This window comes from Homo sapiens, chromosome 10 (genome assembly GCF_000001405.40).
Source record: "Homo sapiens chromosome 10, GRCh38.p14 Primary Assembly".
NCBI classification, from domain to species: Eukaryota; Metazoa; Chordata; class Mammalia; order Primates; family Hominidae; genus Homo; species Homo sapiens.
The window spans coordinates 69,273,596-69,301,211 of record NC_000010.11 but is presented as its reverse complement, the minus strand read 5'-3'; the positions used below and the strand labels follow the sequence as shown (position 1 = coordinate 69,301,211).

Below are 27,616 nucleotides of genomic sequence, written 5' to 3'. Positions count from 1 at the left end.
GTGCAGTGGCGTGATCTCGGCTCACTGCAACCTCCATCTCCCAGGTTCAAGCAATTATCTGCCTCAGCCTCCCGAGTAGCTGGGATTACAGGCACCCAACACTACACCCGGCTAATTTTTGTATTTTTAGTAGAGACTGGGTTTCACCAGTCTGAAACCAAGGCTGGTCTTGAACTCCTGACCTTGTGATCCACCTGCCTCAGCCTCCCAAAGTGCTGGGATTACAGGCGTGAGCCACCGTGCCTGGCTACAATTGATTTATGTATATTAACCTTGTATCCTATAACCTTGCTGAAATTGTTTATTAGTTCTAATAGGTTTTTGTGGGTATTCCAGGATTTTCTACGTACAAAATCATGCAGGGCTCTTTTTGCCATCTTTCCACGCCACCACAGTGGTGCACATTAATGTCCTGGCTGATGCTCTCAAGAGCATCAACAATGCTGAAAAGAGAGACAAACACCAGGTTCTTAGGCCATGCTCCAAAGTCATCGTCTGGTTTCTCACTGTGATGATGAAGCATGGTTATATTGGCGAATTTGAAATCATGGATGATCACAGAGCTAGGCAAATTGTTGTGAACCTCACAGGCAGTCTAAACAAGTGTGGCATGATCAGCCCCAGATTTGATGTGCAACTCAAAGATCTAGAGAAATGCAGAATAATCTGCTTCCATCTGGCCAGTTTGATTTCATTGTACTGACAGTCTCAGCTGGCATCATGGACCATAAAGAAGCAAGACGAAAACACACAGGAAGGAAAATCCTGGGATTCTTTTTCTAGAGATGTTATACATATTTACAAATAAAATGCCTCATGAAAAAAAAGCAAAAAACAAAATTACATAGGAATAACCTTTTGATATATGCAGCAACATTAAAATATTAAAACCAGACACAAGAGAGTACATATGTATGATTATATTTATATGAGGTTCAAGAATGGAAAAGCTCTGGTGATAGAAGTCAGAATAGTGATACTGTCAGGACAGGAAATGGGAAGTATTGACTGGAAAAGACTGTGAAGGGATTTTGGGGGGTGATGAAAATGTTCTATATCTTGAACTGGGCAACGGTTACATAGGTGTATACGTGTGTTAAAACTTCTTAAACAGCCGGGCATGGTGGCTCACATCTGTAATCCAAGCACTTTGGGAGGCTGAGGCAGGTGGATTGCTTGAGCTCAGGAGTTCAAGACCAGCCGGGGCAACATGGCAAGACCCTGTCTCTACTGAAAAAAAAAATTAAAAATAGGCCGGGTACGGTGGCTGAGGCCTGTAATCCCAGCACTTTGGGAGGCCAAGGCAGGCGAATCATGAGGTCAGGAGTTCAAGACCAGCCTGGCCAACATGGTAAAACCTCATCTCTACCAAAAGTACAAAAAATTACTGGGTGTAGTGGCAGGCGCCTGTAATCCCAGCTACTTGGGAGGCTGAGGCAGGAGAATTGCTTGAACACAGGAGCCAGAGGTTGCAGTGAGCCGAGATTGCGCCACTGCACTCCAGCCCAGGCAACAGAGTGAGACTCCATCTCAAAAAAACACAAACAAAGCTGGGCGCGGTGGCTCACGCCTGTAATCTCAGCACTTTGGGAGGCCGAGCTGGGCAATCACGAGGTCAGGAGTTCGAGACCAACTTAACCAACATGGTGAAACCCCGTCTCTACTAAAAATACAAAAATTAGCTGGGCCTGGTGGCGCACGCCTGTAATCCCAACTACTCGGGAGGCTGAGACAGGAGAATCGCTTGAACCCAGGAGGCGAAGGTTGCAGGAGCCGAGATCACGCCATTGCACTCCAGCCTGGGCAACAGAGAGAGACTCCGTCTCAAACAAACAAACAAACAAACAAACAAAAACCACAAACAAACAAACAAAAAAATGGGCAGGCTGGTACATGGCTGTAGTCCCAGCTACTTGGGAGACCAGGTGGGAGGGTCACTTGAGCCCACGGGGTGGAGGCTGCAGTGAGCCAAGATCGCACCACTGCACTCCAGCCTGCATGACAGAGCGAGACCCTGTTTCAACAACAACACACTTATTAAGCTTACAGAATTTGTGTGTTTGACTGGTAGTAAATTATACTTTCATTTAAAAAAAATAAAAACATAGGTCGGGCATGGTGGCGCACGCCTGTAATCCCAGGTACTTGGGAGGCTGAGGCAGAAGAATCACTTGAACCCAGGAGGGAGAGGTTGCAATGAGCTGAGATCATGCCACTGCACTCCAGCCTGGGCAACAGAGTGAGACTCTGTTTCCAAAAAATAAATAAATAAAGAGATAAAGATGAACTATTTTAAAATTTGGTGGCCTAGTAGTGTCATTAGCTAATTCTCTCAAGGCACTCTGTACACATAGTGATTAGTTCATCATTAACAATATCATATGTAAAGCCAGAATTTAAATAGCCTGCTAATTTTTAATTTTTTGACTGACTTGGCATTATATCTAATAAGATCTTTATCTTCTTTCAACCCCATGATGTAGCTGAATAGTCTGTACCAGGGGTAGGAAAATTATCAGCCATCTTATTTTCTCATTGTTCATTTGTGTTAGCTTCAAAAGCTTCTACTTTTTTTTTTCCTTTTAAGAGACAGGGTCTCACTGTCACCCACGCTGGGGTGCAGGGGCACAAATCATAGCTCACTGCAGCCTCAAACTCTTGGACTCAAGCAATTCTCCTGCCTCAGCCTCTCAAGTAGCTGGGATTGTAGGCACACATCACCATGCTCAGCTAATTTTTACAATTTTTTTTAGAGATGAGGTCTTGCTATGTTGCCCAGGATGTTCTCAAGACCCTGGCCTCAAGTGATCCTCTCCTTGGTCTTTTAAAGCACTGGTATTACAGGTATGAGTCACTACACCTGTCTCAACCCACATTTTTTATGCAGAAATCTTTTAAAACCACTTGCCTATTTTGTGAGGATCAGTCTAATTAAACCCAAATAACATGATACGTAAGACTACTTCAACCAAGCAATTCTTTTTTTTTCTTTTTTTCCTTGAGATGGAGTTTCTCTCTTCTTGCCCAGGCTGGAGTGCAATGGCATGATCTCAGCTCACTGTAACCTCCGCCTCCTGGGTTCAAGCATTTCTCCTGCCTCAGCCTCCCGAGTAGCTGGGATTACAGGTGCCTGCCACCACGCCTGGCTAATTTTTGTATTTTTAGTAGAGACGGGGTTTCACCATGTTGGCCAGGCTGGTCTGGAACTCCTGACCTCAGGTGATACATCTGCCTCGGCCTCCCAAAGTGCTGGGATTACAGGCGTGAGCCACCGCACCTGGCCCGACCAAGCACTTTTTTTTCTTTTTTTTTTTTTGAGACAGAGTTTCACTCTGTGGCCCAAGCTGGAGTGCAGTGGCAGGATCTCAGCTCACTGCAACCTCCGCCTCCCAGGTTCAAGCGATTCTCGTGCCTCAGCCTCCCAAGTAGTTGGGATTACAGATGCACACCACCATGTCTGGCTAAATTTTTGTATTTTTAGTAGAGATGGGGTTTTACCGTGTTGGCCAGGCTGGTCTTAAACACCCGACCTCAGGTGATACGCCAACCCCGGCCTTCCAAAGTGCTGGGATTACAGGAATAAGCCACCACATCCGGCCTCAACCAAGCAATTCTAAAGCTGCGATGCTTCAGAATATGCTAAAGATGGTCTAGGAAATAAAGGAGGGGGCCACTATCAACCCCTCCTCATTGTGAGAGTCCTGGGTACCTGCAAGGCCACCAACGTTGATTTGTCTTTAAAAAGTTGGTGACAATGGAATTGTAATACAGTTGACCCTCGAACAACACCGGTTTGCACTGCAGGAGTTTGCTTACACCTGGATCTTCTTCTGCCTCTGCCACCCCTGAGACAGCAAGACTAAGCCCTCCTCTACCTCCTCCTCAGCCTACACAAAGTGAAGACTACAAGGATGAAGACCTTCATGGTGATCCACTCCCACTTAAAGAATAGTAAATCTATCTCTCTTCCTTATGATTTTCTTAATAACATTTTCTTTTCTCTAGCTTACTTTATTGTAAGAATACAGAATATAGTATATAAAACATACAAAATATTTGTTAATTGACTTTATGTTATCAGTAAGGCTTTTGGTCAACAGTAGTTTTAGCAGTTTGGTTTTGGGGGAGTAGAAAGTTATATATGGATTTTCTACTGCATGATGTGGGGGTGGTCAGTGTCCATAACCCCCTCATTGCTTCAGGGTCAACTGTACTTTCTTCCCACTGGGAAGTAGATCATCTTGCACAGCACACATCCTGGAGGTCTCACTACACTTATGCCCCCTACCCCCTCTCTGGTTTCCTGGATGCCCAAGGCTTCCTCCAGCTCAAGCTCCTTGCTACTGCCAGACAGAAAACAATGTAATCACAGGACTCCTCAGCCTAGAGGATCCTTCAGGCCATGCTGTCAGAGTTTCTCAACTGGACAACCAATCCCAGTCCCATCCAACCTCCTCAGTCTCCCCAGCTTTTTCCCATTTTTGCAGGCTCTGTTTTGGCACATGCTGCTCTCTCTGCTTGAAATGCCCTTCCTCGCCTGACACATGCTTTCCTCTTCTTCAAGACTCTCTGCAAATCTCATCACCTCTATCCAGCCTTTGTTATCTGGACCCAAGACGGGGTTGACCACTCCCTCACCCAGCTCTTAAAGCACGTTTCACCTATGTTGTAACTTTCTCTTTTGAAAAAATATTGAGCTTCACTTCTCAGTCATTAAGTCTTTTGAGGCTGGAGACCGAGTCTTATTTATTTTCAAAAGAACAAGAATAAAGCTACGCAATCAGTGGAATGAGGAGCAGGGCAGAGCTCTGGGGCTCCAGGTTGAATCCACACCCAGCTTTGGCCCTCACCTGGGACTAGGTAATGGCCCCGGACACAGGGGAAATCGAGAGTTTCTGTGCTTTTCTCCCAAGCTGATTCATAAAGTGTACACCTCACCACCTTCGCATGAAGCAACCCATCTCAGATCCACTCTGTTGCCACTTTAAAGAGATAGTAAGCTGTGTGCTTGGGGAATGGGAGGGAAGAGGGTAGGTCAGCACAAACAGCGCAGGAAACTCTTTGATTTGGGGCTAAATGGGATATGTCGACAGGAAAGATCTGAAACTTGTCCATATTGAAGTGCAGAGCAGATGGGTGCCAAGTTTCTGGCATGCCTGACTGTAAAATGGAAAAGACGGGAGGGGAGAGACCCTTCCATTTCCCCTCCCAGGGTCTCTCACAATCAGGACACCATGCATCCCCAAGGCAGGAAGGCCTTGTGTTTGGCTCTGACAATTAGCATTCTGCTTCCAAGAAAGGGCTAAGAAGGGGGCCTCTGTTACTAGGCACCCTTGGAAAGCACCTTCCCTGTTCAGGTGTACTGAGTCCAGCAGGGAGCAAGTTGGAGGTCAATACTGCTCCACACCCTGGAGAAGCCACTGCACAGCTGCTTGGCTGGCTGAAAATCATTATCCCAAAGGGGATTGCCACGCACTATCTTTTACAGAAAATGTTACAGAAGGAAATAAAAAAAAAAATAGCTTTCTTACCTCACTTTCAGCAAGTAGATGAAGTTTTGGTTTTTCAGCTGCTGTAGCCTTAGAGAAAGACAGGACAAGTAAAGTGTTACAAATGCATTTTAGCAACTTGCATTCACAACATATTGATGCTTATAACTAATCAATCACGCTCAGAAAACAAAAGTAATTACAAGTAACCTTGGAATGTCTAAGCAAATTCTATCATGATTACCAATTCTCTGGATGAAATGCAGCAGAGCTCAGTCATGTGCAATTCATGAATTTATTCACACAAACACTAGGTTCTTACAAATGTACCAGGCACTGTGTTGGAAGCTGGAGAGTCCAAGATGAAAGACAACCGTGGTTCGGCCCTCAAGGAGCCCACAATCCACTAAGAAAGACAGATGTGCCGGTCAGTAATGGAAGCGCAGCAGCACCGGAGCTGCGGCAGAGGCCTGGAGAGGAGCTGTGGGAGCACAGGCATCTAATCCCTACTGAACCGCAGGCCCCGCTGTGTCTCCCACCCTGAAGATGCAATGCTTCCCTGATGAGCAAGGAGGCAACATGGCCATCAAGCAGTGACCAGCTCTTGGCAGGGTCTGCGAAAGATGAGTTAGCATTCTGCCCTCCCCTCGCTATTTTTTTTTTTTTTTTGAGACAGGGTCTCTCTTTCTCTCTCTCTCTCTCTCTCTCTCTGTTGCCCAGGCTTGGAGTGCGGTGGCATGATTAAGGCTCACTGCAGCCTCGACCTCCCGGGCTCAAGCAATCCTCCCACCTCACCCTCCCAAGTAGTTGGGACTACAGGTGTGCAACACCACACCTGGCTTATTTATTTATTTATTTATTGAGATGGAGTCTCGCTCTGTTGCCCAGGCTGGAGTGCAGTGGCATGATCTCTGCTCACTGCAACCTCTGCCTCCCAGGTTCAAGCGATTCTCTTGCCTCAGCCTTCTGAGTAGTTGGGATTACAGGCATCCGCCACCACACCCGGCTAATTATTTTTTTTGTATTTTTAGTAGAGATGGGATTTCTCTATGTTGGCCCAGCTGGTCTTGAACTCCTGAACTTGAGTGATCTGCCTGCCTCAGCTTCCCAAGTGCTGGGATTACAAGTGTGAGGCACCGTGCCTGGCCACATTTTTTAGTTTTTGTACAGATGGAGTCCCTCTGTGTTGACCAGGCTGGTCTCAAACTCCTGGGCTCAAGTGATCCACCTGCCTCAACTTCCCAAAGTGCTGGGATCACAGATGTGAGCCACTGCCCCTGGCAGATTCTGCTTTTTTATAACTTCCTTTGCCTCACAAATTTTGGAAGCTGCTGCCAATCAAGAGAAAAGCTCATATGAATTTTTTCCTGATGATAGCTGAATGGATAGGGAGGGTGTGGTAAATTGTTTGCAAAAAACAGCCACACTAATTCTCCTCCCTATACCCATGCTTTTACATAGTCTCCACTCACAGCAACTCCAGAACTGGCCATGTGACTTGCTTGGGCTCATAGGACAATAGCAATGCCATGCAAACAGACACTTGAAATATGCTTGTGCAGGGCCGGGCGCGGTGGCTCACGCCTGTAATCCCAGCACTTTGGGAGGCCGAGGCGGGTGGATCACAAGGTCAGGAGATCGAGACCATCCTGGCTAACACGGTGAAACCCCGTCTCTACTAAAAATACAAAAAATCAGCCGGGCGTGGTGGTGGGCGCCTGTAGTCCCAGCTACTCGGGAGGCTGAGGCAGGAGAATGGCGTGAACCCGGGAGGCGGAGCTTGCAGTGAGCCGAGATCACGCCACTGCACTCCAGCCTGAGCCAAAGTGGGAGACTCTGTCTCAAAAAAAAAAAAAAAAAAAAAAAAGAAAGAAATATGCTTGTGCTTCGGGGCTTGACTTCCCATGCTGCTCTTGGAACCCTTGCAACCACCACTATGTGAATGAGCCCCAGTTATTCTGCTGAACATGTGTGGCACATGGCCCAGTTACCACCCTTGCCTACAGCCAGTCAACTTTCAGATGTGGAAGAGAAGCCACAGACCTCAAGCTGCCTGCAGACCTCTGAGGGAGCCAGTCTGACAGTAAATGGGACAGAGAAGAGCCGTTCCAGGTGAGCTCAGTCCAAATTACCAACTCACAGGATTGCCGGTAAATAAGAGATTATTGTTTTAAGCCACTAAGTATTAAGGTGATTTATTACACCACACACATAGCAAAAGCTGGCTGATACAGAGAAGGGTTTCAAGGTTGGAGGCAGAAATGACAGTGCATACATATCTTGGAGATATCTTCCTTCCTCCTCCAGTATCTCCAAAAATCATGTGCAAGCTGGCCTGTTTAGATGCTTGACTTTCTGGTTGCTGGAATACTTCATGGAAAAGGAAACCTAGACCTATTGGAGGTGAACTGAGGCTGGGAACCTCAGGCACATGTGAGTACCAGCCCACCTGCCTAACATGCCCAGGGCATCTGGCTGAGGCTGGGAACTGAGCTGTCCTGTGTCACTGGGCACAGAAGAAGGCTACCCAAGGAGCACAGAGTTGATAAACGTCCCCACATACAGAAGATGCCAGATAGGGAGCAGGGGGGTGAATAAAAATGCTTGGTAATGGGCTCAAGTCACACCTCCAGAAATGAGTGTTGGGAGTGTAGCCAGCATGCCTGCTCTGGAGCCAGTGGAGGCCAAATCAGTCTTGTCCAGTGAAAGGGGAGATGAATCAGATGGATTAGAGCCTCACCCCACCTTTCCACCTACCACTAGCAGGGGATAGGGTGGGTCCTGGTCCCAACCAATCTCAGGGCTGCTAGAGACAAACTTTCTGGGGAGCCCCAAGTCAGAACAGATGTAGCCCAAACTCAAGTATATTGGTGACGCCTAGGGACTTCAAAGGACTCTGCTCTCAACTTGGAGATCTCATAGGATTCTGATTGTCAATCTCCACTCACCCCTGCAGGTATCTCTGCAGCACTGGAGGTTGGGGGAAAACTGGGGGAAAAATACGAATACGAATACTGAGGCCCTCCTCAGCCCTTTATCTGTAATAACAACCTGTAAAGTGCCTCCTATCTTAGTGCCCAGACCCAGAAAGCACAGCATAAATATTAGCTCTTCTTCTTCCTCCCCACTATTAGTGGGTGAGAAGGGATGGAACCCAGAGTGACAGAGCACAAGGGGCAATCCCACTCTATAAGGAAGGAGACTGAAGTTCCTGGAAGCTTGCATAGCAGCCCATGGACATGCAGGTAGTCCCTGTAAGAATCAGGGGTAATCCATGTGTGTATCTCCCCTGGAGGGCAGGGATGATCTTTCCAGCACTTCTTGTCCTACCTCACATAATCAAGGTCCTAAGCTGGGTGCAGTGGCTCATACCTGTAATCCCAGCACTTTAGGAGGCTGAGGCAGGAGGATCACTTGACGCCAGGGATTTAAGAACAGCCTGGGCAACATAGCAAGACCCTGTCTCTACAAAAAAAAATTAAAAACTGGCTGGTTGTGGGGGCACACGCCTCTAGTCCCAGCTACTTGGGAGGCTGAGGCAAGAGGATCAGTTGAGCTCAGGAGTTCAAGGCTTCAGTGAGCCATGATTGTGCCACTGCACTCCAACCTGGGTGACAGGGCAATATCCCATCTATAAAAAATAAAATTAAAAAAAATTATGGTCCTAGGAAAACTACGGAAGCAAAAAATAGCATCCCATAGACAGTCTGAGCTTCCAGAACAATCCAGGCAGGTTTTCCACATGCCCAAAGCCAAAACTGCCTAGGCCTTACACTGACACCCCCATGATAGCCAACTCCCTGCTGAAATGGCTCTAATGAAGGCTTGCAGATACTTCCAAGCCTACATGAGAATTAATAGTAAGGCAACAGGGAAAAATACTCTCTGGGGCTTGGAATTGTCAGGAAACCTATGAGAAAGAAACCAAATGGACCATGCAATTTTTGGCCCTTCCTTACACTAACAGTGGAAATTTCAATATCCCGAGCATGAGTTTCTAAGCTTGGAACAACTCAAAATATATCTATCCTTAGGAAGATAGGGTTGGAGTCACACACCTCACTTTCAGCCTTGAGCTTGATGGTGGGTAGAAAGAGCACAGTCCTGGAGTGAGAGAGTCCTGAGTTTATGTCCTGGATCTGCCAGGACCAGCTGTACAAGCTTGGCAAAGGAATTTAACCTCTCTAAGCCTCAGTTTCCCCATCTGTAAAGTGGGAATGACACCTTCTTCACTGGGCCTTTGGGAGTGGTGGGCATAGAGGATTTGCTTGGTAAATGGCAGCAGCTACAATAAAGATCATGGATTGACAGAGGCTCCAGGCAATAAGAACTACAACTGCTCTGGGCTAATTGATGGGACCAAATCAACGTCCAGCTGCTGGATTTCCATCTGTGTCTGAGATCCCAGAACCTGTGCTCCTCTCCCTGGACCTCCAAGCACCAAAGAGGGCCTGTCGTCAGATTGACACTGAACTCTGGGTGCAGGAGTCCAAACCTGCTGACTGCCACATGGCGCCTGTGACACTGGCTGCTTTGTGCCACCTCTCCAAGGCTGGCCTGGCCTGCTTTAAATTCCTGGTGGCATTCTGCCTGGGACTGGCAAAGCCAGGCAGGGGCACAAGAAGGGGGCCATGAGAGGTGGCAATGACATCCCAAACAAGCTTCCAGGTTTAGAAGGGCTCCTTCTTTCCCAGAGCAGGCAAAACTTTTCTCACTCTGGTTGCGGGGTGAAGGAGGAGAAAAGGAAGAGGCCTAAGAGACCCAACGGCTAAGAGGAATTTTGATTTTCTGTATTTAGTGGCCTCCACTCCCCACTGACAACCACACAGGAGCCTTGGATTCCACAAAGGAGAATGAGGCTGAGAGCTTCCAGTTGGGCATTAGGAACAGGACAGAATTCAATCCTCTCAAAAGCCTGAGAGGGGCTGAGCACAGAGGTTCACGCCTGTAATCACAGCACTTTGAGAGGCTGAGGCGGGTGGATCACCTGAGGTCAGGAGTTCGAGACCAGCCTGGCCAACTTGGCGAAACCCCGTCTCTACTAAAAATACAAAAAATTAGCCAGGCGTGGTGGCGGGAGCCTGTAATCCCGGCTACTGGGGAGGCTGAGGCAGGAAAACTGCATGAACCTGGGAGGCAGAGGTTGTAGTGAGCCAAGATTGCACCATAGCATTCCAGCCTGGGCAATAAGAGTGAAATTCTGTTTCAAAAACAACAACAACAAACAAACAAACGAAAAACCCTGGGAGGCAGGAGGGATGCACCTGAGCTGGACTTTGCAAAGCCCTTCTCAAAGAAGCTGAAGAGGGCATTGTAAGCTACTCTTGTAGGACTGAGGGAAAGATAACCACCCCAGGCGTGCCCAAGACCCTCACCTCTTGCCTCGAGGTGGAAGCAACTCCTTGAGCTTGTATTGTCCACTTTCAGATACTAATCAGGAATTAATTTGCCACCCAAGGGCTGACCAGGGGAAAGTCTTCATAAAGCAAACAGGCCAGGCCACTGCAGTGATTTAAATGGGGCTCTGAGAGTGTTCTGGGCTCAGGGCACTCAGTTAGTATGAGCACTGTGTTTGTCTTTGAGATCAAGCCCACTGTGTCTCAATTTCCCAGATTGTTCTGTTGGTGGGGGGCGGGGTGGAACAGCTGTAGTCCTTGCTTCAGAGGGACCCACCTACAGCATAGATTAATTTGAAATGAGCCCGCTACTCAGAACATAATTTATCCTATAAACATTTTCCAGGGTTTATTTCAACATCCAGGGGGAGAATCAAAGCTCTTTAAGATGTAAGAACGGGCTTCTGGGCTGGGCACAGTGGCTCACACTGTAATCCCAACACTTTGGGAGGATGAGGTGGGAGGATCACTTGAAGCCAGGAGTTCAACACCAGCCTGGGAAGCATAGTAAGACCTTGTCTCTGTTAAAATTTAAAAAAAAAAAAAAAAAAAATTGGCCGGGTGCAGTAGCTCACGCCTATAATCCCAGCACTTCGGGAGGCTGAGGTGGGCGGATCATATGAAGCCAGGGTTTCGAGACCAGCCTGGGCAACATGACAAAACCCCATCTCTACAAAAAAATACAAAATTAGCCAGGCATGGTGGCGCACGCCTGTAATTTCAGCTACTAGGGAGGCTGAGGCACAAGAATCACTTTAACCCAGGAGGCAGAGGTTACAGTGAGCCGAGATCATGCCATTGCACTCCAGCCTGGGCAACAGAATGAGACTCTATCTCAAAAAAAAAAAAAAAAAAAAAAAAAAAATTTTTTTTTTTAATGGGCAGAAGCCCATTTTTACATGGCAATATAAAATTCAGCCAGAGGGGGCTTCTCTTAGAGAAGAAAAAGCCAAACTCCTATTTCCAGCACACACTGATGACTTCACAGCATAACTGTCTAAAAAGCAATTAACCAGGGGGATACAGAACGATCCTCTGGGCTTCCCTTGGTCAGAACACAAGTGGCCCCTGCTGCACCAAGACTTAGAGGCTGGGTCTGAGGGGGCTCCTGCCTTGCCTCATGACGCTTTCCTGCTGTGCTCTTGGTCAGAGTTTTCCCTCCTCTAAGATGGACCCCAACACACCCCTCTGCCAGGGAGAGCAGGTTGAGCAGGCTATGGTACATGTGAGCCCTCTGAGAAGCTAAAGAAACACCAGAGCGGCTTGTAATCCCAGCACTTTGGGAGGCCGAGGTGGGCGGATCACCTGAGGTCAGGAGTTTGAGACCAGCCTGACCAACATGGAGAAACCCCATCTCTACAAAAAAATACAAAATTAGCCAGGTGTGGTGGCCCATGCCTGTAATCCCAGCTACTGGGAGGCTGAGGCAGGAGAATCGCTTGAACCCGGGAGGCAGAGGTTATAGTGAGCCGAGATCGCGCCACTACACTCCAGCCTGGGCGATGGAACAAAAACGTCTCAAAAAAAGAAAGAAAGAAAGAAACACCAGAGCTTACCGATTCTCGCTGGCAGATCTGCCCCATTGTGGGGAGGGCACTTGCTGACCTCGGGTCCTTTCTTCTGCTTTTCTACTCTCAACAGCTGGGTCTTGAACGCCTAGAGAAAGGCCAAGTTCAAAGAAGGCAGGGTCAGAGGATTGTCGGTCTCATTTTTGTCCTCACCAATTAGGAAGCTAAACACCCTAATACTGAGAACCAAGACATAGTGCAGACACATTTCTAGAGTATTCGTAAACCCAGGTAAAATGTCATAAAGTTTCTCCTTTTGTTTGTTTGAGGCAGAGTATTGCTCTGTTGCCCAGACTAGAATGCAGTGGCGCCATCATAGCTCACTGCAGCTTCTGTTGCTCAGGCTGGTTTCGAACTCCTGGGCTCAAGCAAACCTCCCACTTCAGCCTCCTAAAGTGCTGGGTTACAGGCCTGAGCTACTGCACCCAGTCAAGGTTTCTGGCAGCCTGTCATTCTAGAAGAAATTCCCTGGAGCCTGGTCTGGAAGTGGTACCTCGTCACCAACTACAACCTTCTCTGCTTATGACTATGTCCAAAGAAAGAGTCATGCTTTGGAGAGGAAATCCAATAGAAGTGGAAATTAGCAAAGACATCTCCAAAAGGCCAAGTCAGAGTCTCAGTCCGTTGACCAGGTTGGAGTGCAGTGGTGCCATCGTAGCACACTGCAGCCTCAAACTTGAACTCTTGGACACAAGCAATCCTCCTGCCTCAGCCTGCTGAGTAGCTGCAACCACAGGCATGGGCCACCATGCCAGCCTAATTTTTAATTTTTTTTTTTTTTTTGTAGACACAGTGTCTTGCTATGTTGCCCAAGCTGGTCTTGAACCCCTGGTCTCAAGTGATTACCCTGCCTCAGCCTCCCAAAGTGCTGGGATTACAGGTGTAAGCCACTGCATTCAGTCTACTTACGACTTTTAAAATCTCACCCTATAACTTTTTAAGGCTATTCTTTATAATGTACACATTATTTATATGTGATTTTTTAAAAAATGAGCTATAACTCACATACCAAAAGACTCACCCTTTAAAGTGTATAATTCAGTGGTTTTCTGTATATTCATAAGGTTGTGCAACCATCATCACTAATTCCAGAAAATTTTCATCACTCTATAAGGAAACCCATACCCATTACCAGCCATTCTCATTCGATCCTTCCCCCAGCCCCTGGCAACCACTAATCTACTTTCTGTGTCTGTGAATTTGCCTTCTGGCCATTTCGCATAAGTGGACTTATAAAGATATATAATCTCAAAATAATTAAAATATATGTACTGAGGAATGTGTGATATGGTTAGGCTTTGTGTCCCAACCCACATCTCATTTTGAATTATAATCCCCATAGTCCCCATAATCCCCACATGTCAAGGGAGAGACCAGGTGGAAGGAGTTGGATCATGGGGGCGGTTCCCCCCCTGCTGTTCTTGTGATAGTGAGTGGGTTCTCATGAGATCTGATGGTTTTATAAGAGGCTCTTCCCCCTTCACCCTGCACCTCTCCTTCCTGCAGCCGTATGAAGAAGGTGCCTTGCTTCCCCTTTGCCTTCCCGCCATGATTACAAGTTTCCTGAGGCCTCTCTAGCCATGCTGAACTGTAAGTCAATTAAACCTCTTTCCTTTTTAAATTACCCAGTCTCGGGCATTTCTTTTTCTTTCTTTTCTTTTTTTTCAACTGAAATACTTGTGTGATGTTATTATGACATAATTGAGGGCCATTTCTTTATAGCAGTGCGAAAACAGACTAATACAATGTGTCTACAAAAATATTTTACTGATGGAGTGCATAACCAAAATGATATGGAGAGCCCTGGCTGAAAGCGTAAAGCCTTCTAGGATTTGTCCCTGGTTTCTCTATGAGCTTCCTCGACAGAGGCACTGATGGTTCCCCTAGTTCAAAGCAAAGCATGAGGCCAGGCGCCTCATGAGGTGGCCCATGCCTGTAATCCCAGCACGTTGGGAGGCCGAGGTGGGTGGATCACCTGAGGTCAGGAGTTCGAGACCAGCCTGACCAACGAGGTGAAACCCCCTCTCTACTAAATACAAAAAATTAGCCGGGCATGGTAGCACATGCCTGTAATCCCAGCTACTTGGGAGGCTGAGCCAGGAGAATCCCTTGAACCTGGGAGGCGGAGGTTGCAGTGAGCCGAGATTGCACCATTGCACTCCAGCCAGGACAACGAGAGCGAAACTCCATCTCAAAAAAAAAAAAAAGTAAAGCGTGATCTAAAAATAAAATATATGCCTTGCAATTATTTGTTTGCTTGTTTTTGAGACAGCGTCCTGCTCTGTCACCTGGGCTGGAGTGCAGTAGTGCAATCACACTAACTGCAGCCTCCACCTTCAGAGCTCAAGTGATCCTCCCACCTCAGCCTCTGCAGCTGGGACTACAGGCTCAAACTACCACAGCTGGCTAATTTTTTAATTTTTTGTAGAGACGGGATCTCACTATGTTGCCCAGGCTGGTCTTAAACCCCTGGGCTCAAGCGATTCTCCTCCCTCAGCCTCCCAAAGTGCTGGGATTACAGGTGTCAGCCACTGTACTCAGCTATAATTTATGATTTAACTTTGTTTTTGTAGATAGATGTTCTCCTTATTATGCTATATGGGCTTAACAAATTTTGACAAATTCCACACACATTTTTGCCTTCCTTTCTGATCCCCAGGCAACTTCCCGAGTCTAGTTAAAACACTGCTATGAGTTACCAAAGTACTTGCAGAGAATGCATGTTACCTCTTTCCCATTGGTATTTATTTCTTAAAAGCTCCCTGGGTCTGTAACATGACAGAGAAGATTATGCTATCACCTCCTTTCTTCCCAGTCTTACAATGTTGTTACCCAGGAGACGGAGTAGGAGGAGGGGAAGGAACCCTTGGGACTGGCCCAGGGCATTCGCTTTGAAGGTCATTCAAAGCAGAGTTGCTTTTTGTCTAGAGAGTGTTTGGTCTAGAGGTCATGTAGAAACTGGTGTTTCCACCAGCCCACCATGCAAGCTGGTTTATAGCTAGTCATTCCATTCTCCATATACTCTCCACCCCGAAGTAACTGGCCCTCTCTCTGGTACTCGCACATGTCGCCGCAGAACTGTGCCCCTCTCTCCCTCTTCAAGATCTAGAGCATCTGTGTAAGCCAAGTATTGCCCTTCCCCCAAATCTGGCACAGGCACCATCATAACACAGCTTCAAATTTGATGCTTTGTTTATTGTGTCATTTACTTGAGTTTAGGGATCCTGATATCTCTACATTTTAATAACAGAAAAATCCACAATTCATTTGAATTTTGCTAATAGCTGGATTCCTTTCTGTTTTTTGTTTGTTTGTTTGTTTTTTGTTGTTGTTTTGAGATGGAATCTCTCTCTGTCGCCCAGGCTGGAGTGCAGTGGCGCAATCTCGGCTTACTGCAAGCTCCGCCTCCCGAGTGCACGCCATTCTCCTGCCTCAGCCTCCTGAGTAGCTGGGACTACAGGCGCCCGCCACCTCGCCCGGCTAATTTTTTGTATTTTCAGTAGAGACCATGTTAGCCAGGATGGTCTCGATCTCCTGACCTTGCGATCCACCCACCTCGGCCTCCCAAAGTGTTGGGATTACAGGCGTGAGCCACCGCGCCCGGCCTGTTTGTTTGTTTTTTTAAGGAATAGGATCTCACGGCTGGGTGCGGTGGCACATGCCTGTAATCCCAGCATTTGGGGAGGCCAAGGTGGGCAGAACACCTGAGGTCAGGAGTTCGAGACCATCATGGCCAACATGGTGAAACCCTGTCTCTACTAAAAATACAAAAAAATTAGCCGGGCGTGGTGGCTGGCACCTGTAGTCCCAGCTATTCAGGAGGCTGAGGCAGGAGAATGGCGTGAACCCAGGAGGCAGAGCTTGCAGTGAGCCAAGATCATGTCACTGCACTCCAGCCTGGGTGACAAAGAGAGACTCCGTCTTAAAAAAAAGAAAAAAGAAAAACTAAAAAAATTACTGAGCGTGGTGGTGAGTGCCTGTAATCCCAGCTACTCTGGAGGCTGAGGCAGGAGAATCACTTGAACCCTGGAGGCGGAGGTTGCAGTAAGCCGAGGTTGTGCCACTGCACTCCAGCCTGGGCGACAGGGCAAGATTCTGTCTCAGAAAAAGGGAAATAGGATCTCACTATGCTGCCCAGGCTGGTCTCAAACTGCTGGGCTCCAGTGATCCTCCTCTCTCAGCTTCCCGAAGTGCTGGGATTACACGAGTGAGCCACTCCACTTGGCTTAAGCAGCTGGATTCCTTCTTCCTTTCCAGTGATGCTTTTTTTTACATAGTTTTAGCCTTGCTTTCAGAGAGGATGTACCCACTATTCAATTGACTTCCACTTTGCCCTTAAGCAACTCTCTTGGAGGTCATTAAATTCAATAAATTAGCATTTATTGAATACTTCCTGTCTGCGAGGCACTGCTATAAATATAATACCTCACAGGCATTAGTTCACAAGAACTCCTCATAAGTTCTATTTTCCCAGTTTTACACATGAGGAAACTGAGGCTCACAGCAGTCAAGTAGCTTCCCAAGGTCATATGGCTGTAAGCTAACCAAGCTGAGATTTGAAATCAGGCTCCTCCATTCTTAACCAATCTTGCACACTGTCCCTCAACTGCAGAGCATCAGTCCCAAACCCTGAGGGTAGTAGAGGACAGATGGGTACTCAGGGAAGAGAGGCATTTTACAAGTCTCAAACTGTGAGGAATATCAGCACAGCATTTGCCTTAAAAGAAAAAATCATAGATGGCATTATCTCAGTCACCTCAAACAAAAAGACTTAACTATAGTGAGCTTTGGCCCAGTTACAAATTACTGTGTATCCTTGGGAAAGTGTTTGCCTCTCTCTGGGCCTCATCTGTAAAATAAGTGGGCTTAAACCCCAGGATCTACCTTTTAAGATCCTGAGACTTGGATAGCTCTTTATTTTCTTTTTCTTTTTTTCTTTTCTTTTTTTTTTTTTTTTTTTGAGACAGAGTCTCACTCTGTCACCCAGGCTGGAATGCAGTGCGGTGGTGCGAACTTGGCTCATTGCAACCTCTTGTTGCAGCCTCCGCCTCCTGTGTTCAAGCGATTCTCGTCCCTCAGTCTCCTGAGTAGCTGGGACTACAGTTGCCTGCCACCATGCCTGGCTAATTTTTGTATTTTTAGTAGAGATGGGGTTTCACCATGTTGGCCAGGCTGGTCTCGAACTCCTGACCTCAAGTAATCTGCCCACCTTGGCCTTCCAAAGTGCTAGGATTACAGGCATGAACCACCACGCCCAGCCAGCTCTTTATTTTTATTTTTATTTATATTATTATTATTATTATTGAGACAGGGTCTCACTCAGTCACCCAGGCTGGAGTGCAGTGGTGCGATCATGGGCTCACTACAGCCTTGACCTCCTGCGCCCAAGTGATCCTTCCACCTCAGCCTCCAGAGTAGCTGGGACCACAGGCATGCACCACCACGTCAGGCTAATTTTTTTTTTTTTTAATTTTGGTAGAGATGGGATCTCTCTATTTTGCCCAGGCTGGTCTCGAACTCCTGGTCTCAAGTGATCCTCCCGCCTTGGCCTCTCAAAGTGCTGGGATTACATGTGTGAGCCACCGCACCCTGCCAGATTATACCTTCATTCATTTTTTTTTTTTTTTTTTTTTTGAAACTGAGTTTCGCTCTTGTCACCCAGGCTGGAGTGCAGTGGCGCAATCTTGGCTCACCACAAACTGCCTCCTGGGTTCAAGCGATTCTCCTGCCTCAGCCTCCGAAGTAGCTGGGATTACAGGCGCCTGCCACCATACCCAGCTAATTTTTTTTTTTTTTGTATTTTTAGTAGAGAAGGGGTTTCACCATGTTGGCCAGGCTGGTCTCAAACTCCTGACCTCAGGTGATCCACCCACCTCGGCCTCCCAAAGTTCTGGGATTATAGGCATGAGCCACCGCACCCAGCTCATTCATTTTGTTTTACAGAGAAGGACAGGAAGCTACTTAATGCGAAAAGCCAGAGAGAGAGTCTCATGCAGAAGTGAGGCCGTCACAGCCCAGGCAACCCCCTAGTTGCCTTGGGATGACTTGAGACACCTTTGCTTGTTCTTCATTTGGGCTCACTCTCATTTTTCCAAAAGGACAACATACACTGTCCTTGCAATCCAACTGTGGATTCTTGGCACAAAGCAGGTGTGGGTAGGTGTTTGGACTCTTTTCCTTCTCAGGAACAATGCTCTGGGGAACAGTTCTTTAGTTGGTTAGTTGAAGTCCTGAAAACAGAAGAGACAAAAGATGTATTTGTCGTAAAATCAAGAGTCACCAAAGGCTTGCAAGGGGTTGAGCCTGCGCCAGCGTCCTGGGGAAGGAAGGCATCCTTGGATGTTACTCCAGGACTTGTGGGCAGGGGATGGGGCACTTGGATGCCCTTGACATTCAGACAGTGCTTCATGGTTATGAAGTTATTTTATCCCATTGAGACCTCAGAAACCTTGGGTGTGGGGACAGAAATGGTGACAATGGTGAGGAGGACGGTGATATTGAAGATGGTGATGACAATGGCCACTCATGTGCATTGAGCCAGGGATTGTGCTAAGGACTTCATGTGCCCTGATTCCTGGAAGTGTCCCAACAAGATTAGGAGTAGAAACCCTTTTCAGGAGGGAAGCCGACGCTTACAGGAGTTAATTCAGGCACTCATGGAAATGCAACAGTAGCAGAGCTGGGTGTTGTACTTAGGTCTCTTCAGCCCTGGAGCCTTAATTCTTTGTTTTATGGGTGCTGTAGCTGAGGCTTAGAGCGGGTAAGTAGCTCAGAGCTAAAAAAAGAAACAACTAGGATTTTAAAATGCGTGGAGAGATGAAATGCCCACTCTGTGGCCAAAATAGAGCAGGCAAACCTCTGGTTGGCACCAGAGAGAGCTGGGCTAGACTTGGCAGCCAACGTTCTAATGGATATTCCAGGCCACCTTTTTCCTTCCTCCTCCCTCCCCTTCCTTTATTCTTTGGGGACAAAATCTGTTGTTTCACTCTCTTTTATTGTGCACAATCCTAAGGGTGACTCACCACCATTCCCCACCCAAACCCTTCCTTTTTTCCTACTATTCGTATATCCTGTCTTCATGGAGCTTACATTCTCTGGAGGAAACAGAGATTAAGAAATCACACAAATCACAGTTGCAAATTGTGAATCATGATAGCTATCAAGAAAAAGTATAGGAAGCCACAACATCTAATCCTGGGGTTCATGAACGGCTTCCTATAGAAAGTGACATTGAATCTGGGACACATTGGTCTAAGTCAGAGTTTTCTTTGGAGGCCCCTGAGGCAGGGATCAGGTAAGCCTCGATAAAGGAGGAGGATGAGGAAGAGAAAGAGGAGGAAGAGGACAGCACACCCTGGTACTTATTAATCTGCCCCCTCTGCATTTGGGATTTTACTGAGAGTGGGCTGGCTTGGTCCCCGTCCTCTAGGGTGGTGGTTCTCAAAGTGTGGTCCCTGCACCAGTAACAACAGCATTAGGTGGGAACTTGTTAGAAATGCACATTCTTGGGCCCTTCCACAGACCTACTGAATGGAAAACATTGGGGTGGAACCATGAATCTGTGTTTTAACAAGCCCTCCTGGTGATTCTGTGACCTGCTAAAGTTTGAGAGCCCTATTTTAGATGCCTACAATCATGTGGATTCACTCATTAAAAGTACAGAAGATCCCAGTTCTCTCTCACTCTCTCATGTCCTCCACATGGAAGAGGAAGTCATAAACGATATTTTGAGAGGTCTGATAAGAGTCTGCAGCTATACAGAGACATAGGACAGGTTGTTTGATAAAGTGGAGAGTAGGAGACAAAAATGCAAAGATTTTAGCAATTCAGAGATTAGTGGCACAGGGGATGAAACTCCAGAAGGTAAAAGCATATTATTTGAAAACTGGAAAGAACCTAGCACATCATATTCCACTCCCACCCTCACTGTCTTGGTCCGTTCAGGCTGCTACAACAAATTACCATTGGCTAGGTAACTTACAAATGATGGAAATGTATGTTTCACAGTTCTGGAGGCTGGCAAATCCAAGATTAAGTCACCAGCAGATTTGGTGCCTGCCTGGTGAGGGCTCATTTCTCAAAGACAGCCTTCTTACTCCGTCCTCACTGGTAGAAGGGGCAGACAAGCTCTCTAGAGTCTCCTTTATAAGGGGATGAATCACATTCGTGAGGGCTCCACCCTCATGACTTAATAACCTCCAAAGACCCCACCTTCTAATATTATCATATCGGAGATTAGGTTTCAATTATGAATTTGGGGGGCCATAAACATGCAGACCATAGCACCCACCCAAGACAAGATCCAGGTAGGTGCTACCTCACTCTTTAAAAAACCTTTTCCGGGCTGGGCGTGGTGGCTCACGCCTGTAATCCCAGCACTTTGGGAGGCCGAGGTGGGCAAATCACAAAGTCAGGAGGTCGAGACCATCCTGGCTAACACAGTGAAACCCTGTCTCTACTAAAAATACAAAACAAAAAAATTAGCTGGGCATGGTAGCAGGCACCTGTAGTCCCAGCTACTTGGGAGGCTGAGGCAGGAGAATGGCGTGAGCCCAGGAGGCGGAGCTTACAGTGAGCCGAGATCTCTCCAGCCTGGGTGACAGTGCGAGACTCTGTCTAAAAAAAAAAAACAAAACCTTTTTTCATCATTGGCCAGTTAAATCTGAGATGCAATCTACCTCCATCTGACCTGCTTCCCTTGGCCTTAGTTCTCTAGATTCTCGCAGGTCAATCCTTTCATCCTTCCTCGTGTCTGCCCAAGGATGACAATATGGGTGGTTCTTAGTGAAGACACAATCGCTGATCAACCAAAGTATAAAATAAGCTCCTGGACTTATACATGCTTTTATTAAAGCAAGAGTGAAGGTGAAAGAAACTTCAAGCACATGTGCTCTCCAGCTGAGCAGCTGACATGAGGGTGGCTTTGTAGATTGGGCCACATTCTGGAGAATGTTAAGTAAATTTTGCGAGGTCCTGATTCCTAACTGTGACCCAGGCCTCCAATATCCTAGGTCACAGACACCTCTCACATGTGGTTTCCTTTAAGTCCTGCATTTATGACTTGACTGATGAGGAAGAAATTTTTGGACTACATATTTAAACTATCATTGCTTGTTATGGGTACTAAATACTTCACAGCCCAAGATCTACTTAGTTTCTGGAGAAACATGTTTCTTGGGTCATTCTGAGGTTCCCCATCAAACATTCGATCTACATATGTTCATTCATACATTCATTTAACCATTCTGCACATCCTGCAAACCCCATGCAAACCCAGTTCAGCCTCTCAGTCTACCTGCAGTTGGGCACTACTCAATTTCTTCTCCAAATCAAGACACCAAAGTCAACCATGGACAAGTTCTACTTCAAAGAATGTGCTAACAAAAGACCCAATTCAGAGCAAGCAAATGTGACAGAGTACAAAAGAGCAGCTTCACTTCTCCTTTGAACCATATTTGCATGTTGTCCCAACGCCCTTCACCACATGAGGAAGAGGGCAGAGAGAGGATTAGCCCATTTTAGAAAGAGACAGACTAAAGCCCAGGAAGAAATACAACACAGAGACCTGCCTCTCAGCCTGGGCCTCCCACCACCAACCAGTGCTCCCTAGGCCTGTGAAGGCTCTTAGGGACACCATCATAAGGAGACGACATCAGCCCATGAGTGATAATATAGCATCGACGAAAACAAAACTTCCAAAGAAACTTACTATGAAATGGGCCTCTGACATTTCTTGCATAAAGATGGTCTTTGAAGAGTCACCCCACAATAAAAACTCGCTCCTCTGAGGCTAGAATCACAGCTTCTCTACACTCTTGATGATGCCGGACAAAAATGTAACCACATGCTCTTCAACTGGCTTCCCGCCAAACACTGGAGAGCAAGCTCATGTGCCCACCACTGCGTAATAACCCAAGCCAAATCTCTGTTTTATTTTTATCAATAAGGGAAAAAAAAAACAACTTCATCTTACCACACAGTCCATTGAATTCAAGCCTTTTCACAGAGGAAGCAAAAGACTTCCTAATCTCTAGCAAAAAATGCCAGCTATGTGCTCCCACAGGGTTCCAGTCGCTGGAGGCCGCAGGGCACCAGGACTACCACAGTAACTTCCCAGCTGATCTACAATTCAATTCTCTTTTGTGCAAAACTCCAGACGCCGTCCAACAGTTCGGATCCAAGCTTCAATCCCGGGACGTTCCAGCCTTGTCGTCAGCCCCAGTGCATTCCCTGACCTGGAAAGCAGACTCAGAAATCAGGACTGGAATCTGGGGCCCAGAGCCTGACCACATAGCTTTAGCTGCCTTTGAGAGGAGAGATGGATTTCCAATTTGATCCATAGTACTTTCCATGTAGCAGCTACCGGAGGAAAATGGGATGGGTGAGTGGGCAATGTGTGGAGTAGAACTACAGAGCCCTCAAAAAGCTTCATAGACAAAATACAGATTAAATATACATATTCTCAAGGAAAGCCAGCCAGGCAGCCATAGTGTAAGCAGTGAGTGCTTTACAGCAAGTGCTTCAGATGTCAGAGGAAATGGCAGGCAGTTTCCAAGAAGATGGATTGGAATAGGAACATTGGCTAACCTGTCAGTTTCCCTAGGAAATGTCAGTCTCATTTCCTCTGCCCCCTCAGTCCTAACCCTACCATCAGATCTATTTTTGTGCCCAGCTTTGTCCCTTATCCCTCCACAGTTCACTATAAAACAAACCTTTTTTTTTTTTGAGACGGAGTCTCGCTGTTGTTGCCCAAGCTGGAGTGCAATGGCACAATCTCGGCTCACTGCAACCTTCGCCTCCCAGGTTCAAGCAATTCTCCTTCCTCAGCCTCCTGAGTAGCTGGGATTACAGGCGCCTGCCACCACGCCCAGCTAAGTTTTGTATTTTTAGTAGAGACAGGGTTTCGTCATGTTGGCCAGGCTGGTCTCGAACTCCTGACCTCAGGTGATCTGCCTGTGTCGGCCTCCCAAAGTGCTGGGATTACAGGCGTGAGCCCTGTGCCTGGCCTAAAACAAACCACTTTTATCAGCACTCAGTTGTGTGGTAAATAGTATTTTATTTAGGCTTATAAGGAGCTACAAAAATACAAAAGATGGAGAGTGGGAAAGCCTTTTTGTAATATATAATAATAAATGAAAAAAGCTAGATAAAATTTCTAAAGTAGAATCCTATTTATTTCTTTATTTATTTAGACACAGGGTCTTACTCTGTCGCCCGGGCTGGAGTGCAGTGGCATGATCATGGCTCACTGCAGCCTCGACCTCCCAAGGCTCAGGTGATCCTCCTGCCTCAGCCTCTGAGTAGCTGGGACAACAGGTGGGCACCACCATGCCTGGCTAATTTTTGTATTTTTAATAGAGGCGGGGTTTCAACATTTTGCCCAGGCTGGTCTCGAGCTCCTGGCCTTAAGCAATCCTCGTGCCTCAGCCTCCCAAAGTGCCAGGATTATAGGCATGAGCCACTTCACCCAGCCAAAAAGAAAATTTTAAATGCTTTCAGAGACACAAAACAGATTACTCAAAAAGAAACAAGAACCAGATTGGCATTAGACTTGCAACCAATGATGCAAGAAAAGAATAAGGTAATAGATTTAAAGAACAGAAGAAAGGGATCTTTGAATCTAGAATTTTATATCCAGCGAAATTAGCATTCAAATATGATGGCATAATAAAAATATTCTCAGTGATTTAAACCCTCAGCTTGCCACATAATATCTCTCCGTCAAAACACTTAGAGGAAGCCAAATAAGTGAAAGTTTATGAATAATAGCACATAACTAAAATTCTAGACCATTTCAGTATGATGGGCTATAGGGGTAAGAGAGACTAAAATACATAAAAGCATGCTGAAATACTTGTCTTCTTTGGGAGAAGATACATTTATCAATCCTTCGCTTCCATCCTACATATATGTAGGATATATATAGATATATAAAATATCCTATTATATGTAATTATATATAAAGATAATAGTTATAGTTATAATTATTATTAATTAAATGATTGAATGATTTGATGTTTAATTATTATGTTAATTAATAATTAAATAATTTTAATCATTTAAAATTAATATCTTAAAATTAAGATATTAATTTTTTTTTAAGACAGAGTCTTACTATGTCACCCAGGCTGGAGGGCAGTGGCACGATCTCAGCTCACTGCAACCTCCGCCTCCCGGGTTGGAGCAATTCTCATGGCTCAGCCTCCCGAGTAGCTGGGATTACAGGAGTGCACTACCACACCCGGCTAATTTTTGTATTTTTAGTAGAGACAGGATTTCACCACGTTAACCAGGCTGGTCTCAAACTCACAACCTCAGGTGATCCACCCGCCTCGGCCTCCCAAAGTGCTGGGATTACAGGCATGAACCACTGTGCCTGGCCAGATGTTAATATTCTAATAAATTAACCTCTAAATATTAAAGCAAGAATTGTTAGACCTACAGAAATACTCTGACAAATCCACATTACAAGAATAAATTTAAATGTATTTTTCTCTGCCATTAGATCAAGCAAGCAAACAAACAAAATCAACAAAGTTATAAAAGATTTGAACAACAAAACAAGTTTAATCTAATAAATATATAGAATTACTTATTTAATATAGAATATATATATGTGTATATATATATATATATGTATTTTTTTTTTTTTTTTTTTTTTTTTTTTTGAAAAGGAGTTTTGCTCTTGCTGCCCAGGCTGGAGTGCAATGACACAATCTTGGCTCACTGCAACCTCTGCCTCCTGGATTCAAGCGATTCTCCTTCCTCAACCTCCTGAGTAGCTGGGATTGCAGGCACCTGGCACCACGCCCAGCTAATTTTTTGTATTTTTAGTAGAGACAGGATTTCACTATGTTGGCCAGGCTGGTCTCAACTCCTGACCTCAGGCGATCCACCTGCCTCGGCCTCCCAAAGTGCTGGGATTACAGGCATGAGCCACTGTGCCCAGCTAATACAGAATATATTTTAAGTGCACATGAAAAGCACTCAAATTTCAAAGCAAACATATTTATAAAGCAAGTCTTAATAAATTTGTAAATAATTAAGATAATTTAGACCAGGGATTGACAAACTGAATTGCAGGACAAATCCAACCTGTCACTTATTTTTGTAAATAAAGTTTTATTAGAACCAAGCCATACCCGTTCATTTACATGTTGTCTATGGCTCCTTTTTTGTTACAACAGCACAGATCATATGGCCCACAGAGCCTACAATTGTGACTGCCTGGCCCTTTACAGAAGTAATTAGTCAATCCCTGATATAGGCCATAAATCAACATATAATTAAGTTAAAATTAACAAAATGATCAAATTTAAAACAATATACTTGGAAATTACAAATGTACAAATTTAAGTTGTTTTTTTTTTAAATTTTATTTTTTATGTATTTTTTAATCTAGTAGAGATGGGGTCTCGCCATGTTGCTCAGGCTGGTCTCAAATTCCTGGCCTCAAGCTATCCTCCCACCTTGGCCTCCCAAAGTACTGAGATTACAGGCGTGAGCCACCGTGCCCGGCCTTAAAAGGTTTTTTGTTTTTTGGTTTTTTTTTTTTAATAACTCATGAATAAAATAAGACATTGTAATGGGAATTTAAAATATTTAGAATTGGTGGTTAGGATATAGGATGTAAGAGGGGAGCAGTAGACCATTGTGTCCACTATAGCAATTAGAAAAAATATATATGGATAAACTAAAAATCATATATATTTCTTTTTAGAGATACTGGAAGGCTGGAAATCTAATGGAATTAAATTCCAGAGCAGAAGGGACCCTCCCAAAGTGAGTGGAGATTCATGACTGCTTTCCTCTATGAGGGCATTTGTTGAGTCTCGGCATGGGTTGGGGGAGATTAGACTTGCCAGAATAGAGGCAAGACTACTCAGAGAGAATGAGAAAGCAGCCAGCTTTTATGGTCATGTGAGCTGGCTAGACAGAGTAGAATCTGGAGAAGCTTCAAATGCATAGCTGGTTTTCCCCACCTGCCAGTTCTCCCCATAGGATTTTTGCTAAGTTCTGGGCAGTAAAGAAGGCTAGATTGAAATTCAGAGAAAGATACCCTATAATATTGTTGTATTTGAGAAAGAGAAGGCTGCTTGAAAAAAGGGCCTGTAATAAACACAAGACAGGCATGACTCTAAGATATTTGAAACTGTTTTTTTTTTTTTTGAGACAGAGTTTTGCTCTGTCACCCAGGCTGGAGTGCCATCTCGGCTCGCAGCAACCTCTGCCTCCTGAGTTCAAGCAATTCTCCTGCCTCAGCCTCCCAATTAGCTGGGATTACATGTGTGTGACACCATGCCCAGCTACTTTTTGTATTTTTGGTAGAGACAAGGTTTCACCATGTTGGCCAGGCTGGTCTCAAACTCCTGACCTCAGGTGATCTACCTGCTTTGGCCTCCCAAAGTGCTGGGATTAGAAACGTGAGCCACTGCGCCTGGGCAAAAGTATTTTTTAAATTAAAATTTGAAAAATTAAAAAAATACAGATGAGATCTATGTTGCCCAGGCTGGTCTTGAACTCCTGAGCTCAAGTGGTCATCCTGCCTCAGCCTACCAAAGTGCTAGGATGACAGGTATGAGCCACTATGCTCAGCTGATATTTGAAACGAAAAGTGAACTGATCCAGCTCAATATCAGACTGGATCAAAGTGATCAGTCCATCACCTTAGCTGCCTGAGAGAAGAAAGAGTGTTCTCTTTCTGGTGAAAAATAATATCTACATCAGACTCTATGGCTATTTATGCTTAATATTAAAAAAAAATGCAAAGAAGTAGAAAAATGTGGCCTGTAAGCAAGAGAAAAAATAGACAACACAAACAGTCCTACAGGTAACCCAGATGTTGGAATTAGCAGACAAGGACTTTAAGATGATTTTTGTAATTATGTTAAAGAAAAATAAAAGAAAAGTTAGAAAAAATGGACGAAAAGATAAATAATGTCAATAGAGAAATTAAATCTCTAAAAAAGGACATGGATATTCTACAATTGAAAAATATAATGTTTTAAATTAAGAATTCATTGGCTAGGCTTAAGAGCAGGTTGGCCACAGCAGAAAAAAAATCTGTCACTGAACTTGAAGACTAGTTATTGGAGATTATGCAAACTGGCTGGGCGCAGTGGCTCATGCCTGTAATCCCAGCGCTTTGGGAGGCCAAGACAGG

General features: G+C 45.6%; 1 protein-coding gene and 1 pseudogene across 9 annotated transcripts in view, besides 1 other annotated feature; one reads left to right on the top strand and one right to left on the bottom strand.

Annotated features, from left to right (window-relative positions):
- HK1 (hexokinase 1) overlaps positions 1–27,616 on the bottom strand; it is a 131,883-nt gene that overhangs the window by 100,671 nt on the left and 3,596 nt on the right. For 2 of the 9 annotated variants that reach the window (XM_047425137.1, NM_033498.3), the window contains 3 exons: positions 18,508–18,683; positions 12,442–12,541; positions 5,532–5,579 (listed from right to left, as the gene is read on the bottom strand). In XM_047425137.1, the coding sequence (XP_047281093.1) occupies positions 5,532–5,579; positions 12,442–12,468 (75 nt within the window). In that variant the 5' untranslated portion in view covers positions 12,469–12,541; positions 18,508–18,683. Of the gene's footprint in view, positions 1–350; positions 444–5,531; positions 5,580–8,861; positions 8,955–12,441; positions 12,542–18,326; positions 18,684–22,426; positions 22,717–27,616 lie in introns of those variants that run through there. The other 7 variants (XM_047425136.1, NM_033497.3, NM_033500.2 and 4 more) reach the window with 6 other exon arrangements.
- RPS15AP28 (ribosomal protein S15a pseudogene 28) lies at positions 365–819 on the top strand (annotated as a pseudogene).
- Positions 9,535–10,035: an enhancer, noted in NCBI's record as "H3K4me1 hESC enhancer chr10:71050933-71051433 (GRCh37/hg19 assembly coordinates)". NCBI's record gives its function as "activates a minimal SCP1, AML or CMV promoter by ChIP-STARR-seq in primed H9 embryonic stem cells {active_cell/tissue: H9 hESC(primed)}" and the evidence as "EXISTENCE:reporter gene assay evidence [ECO:0000049][PMID:30033119]".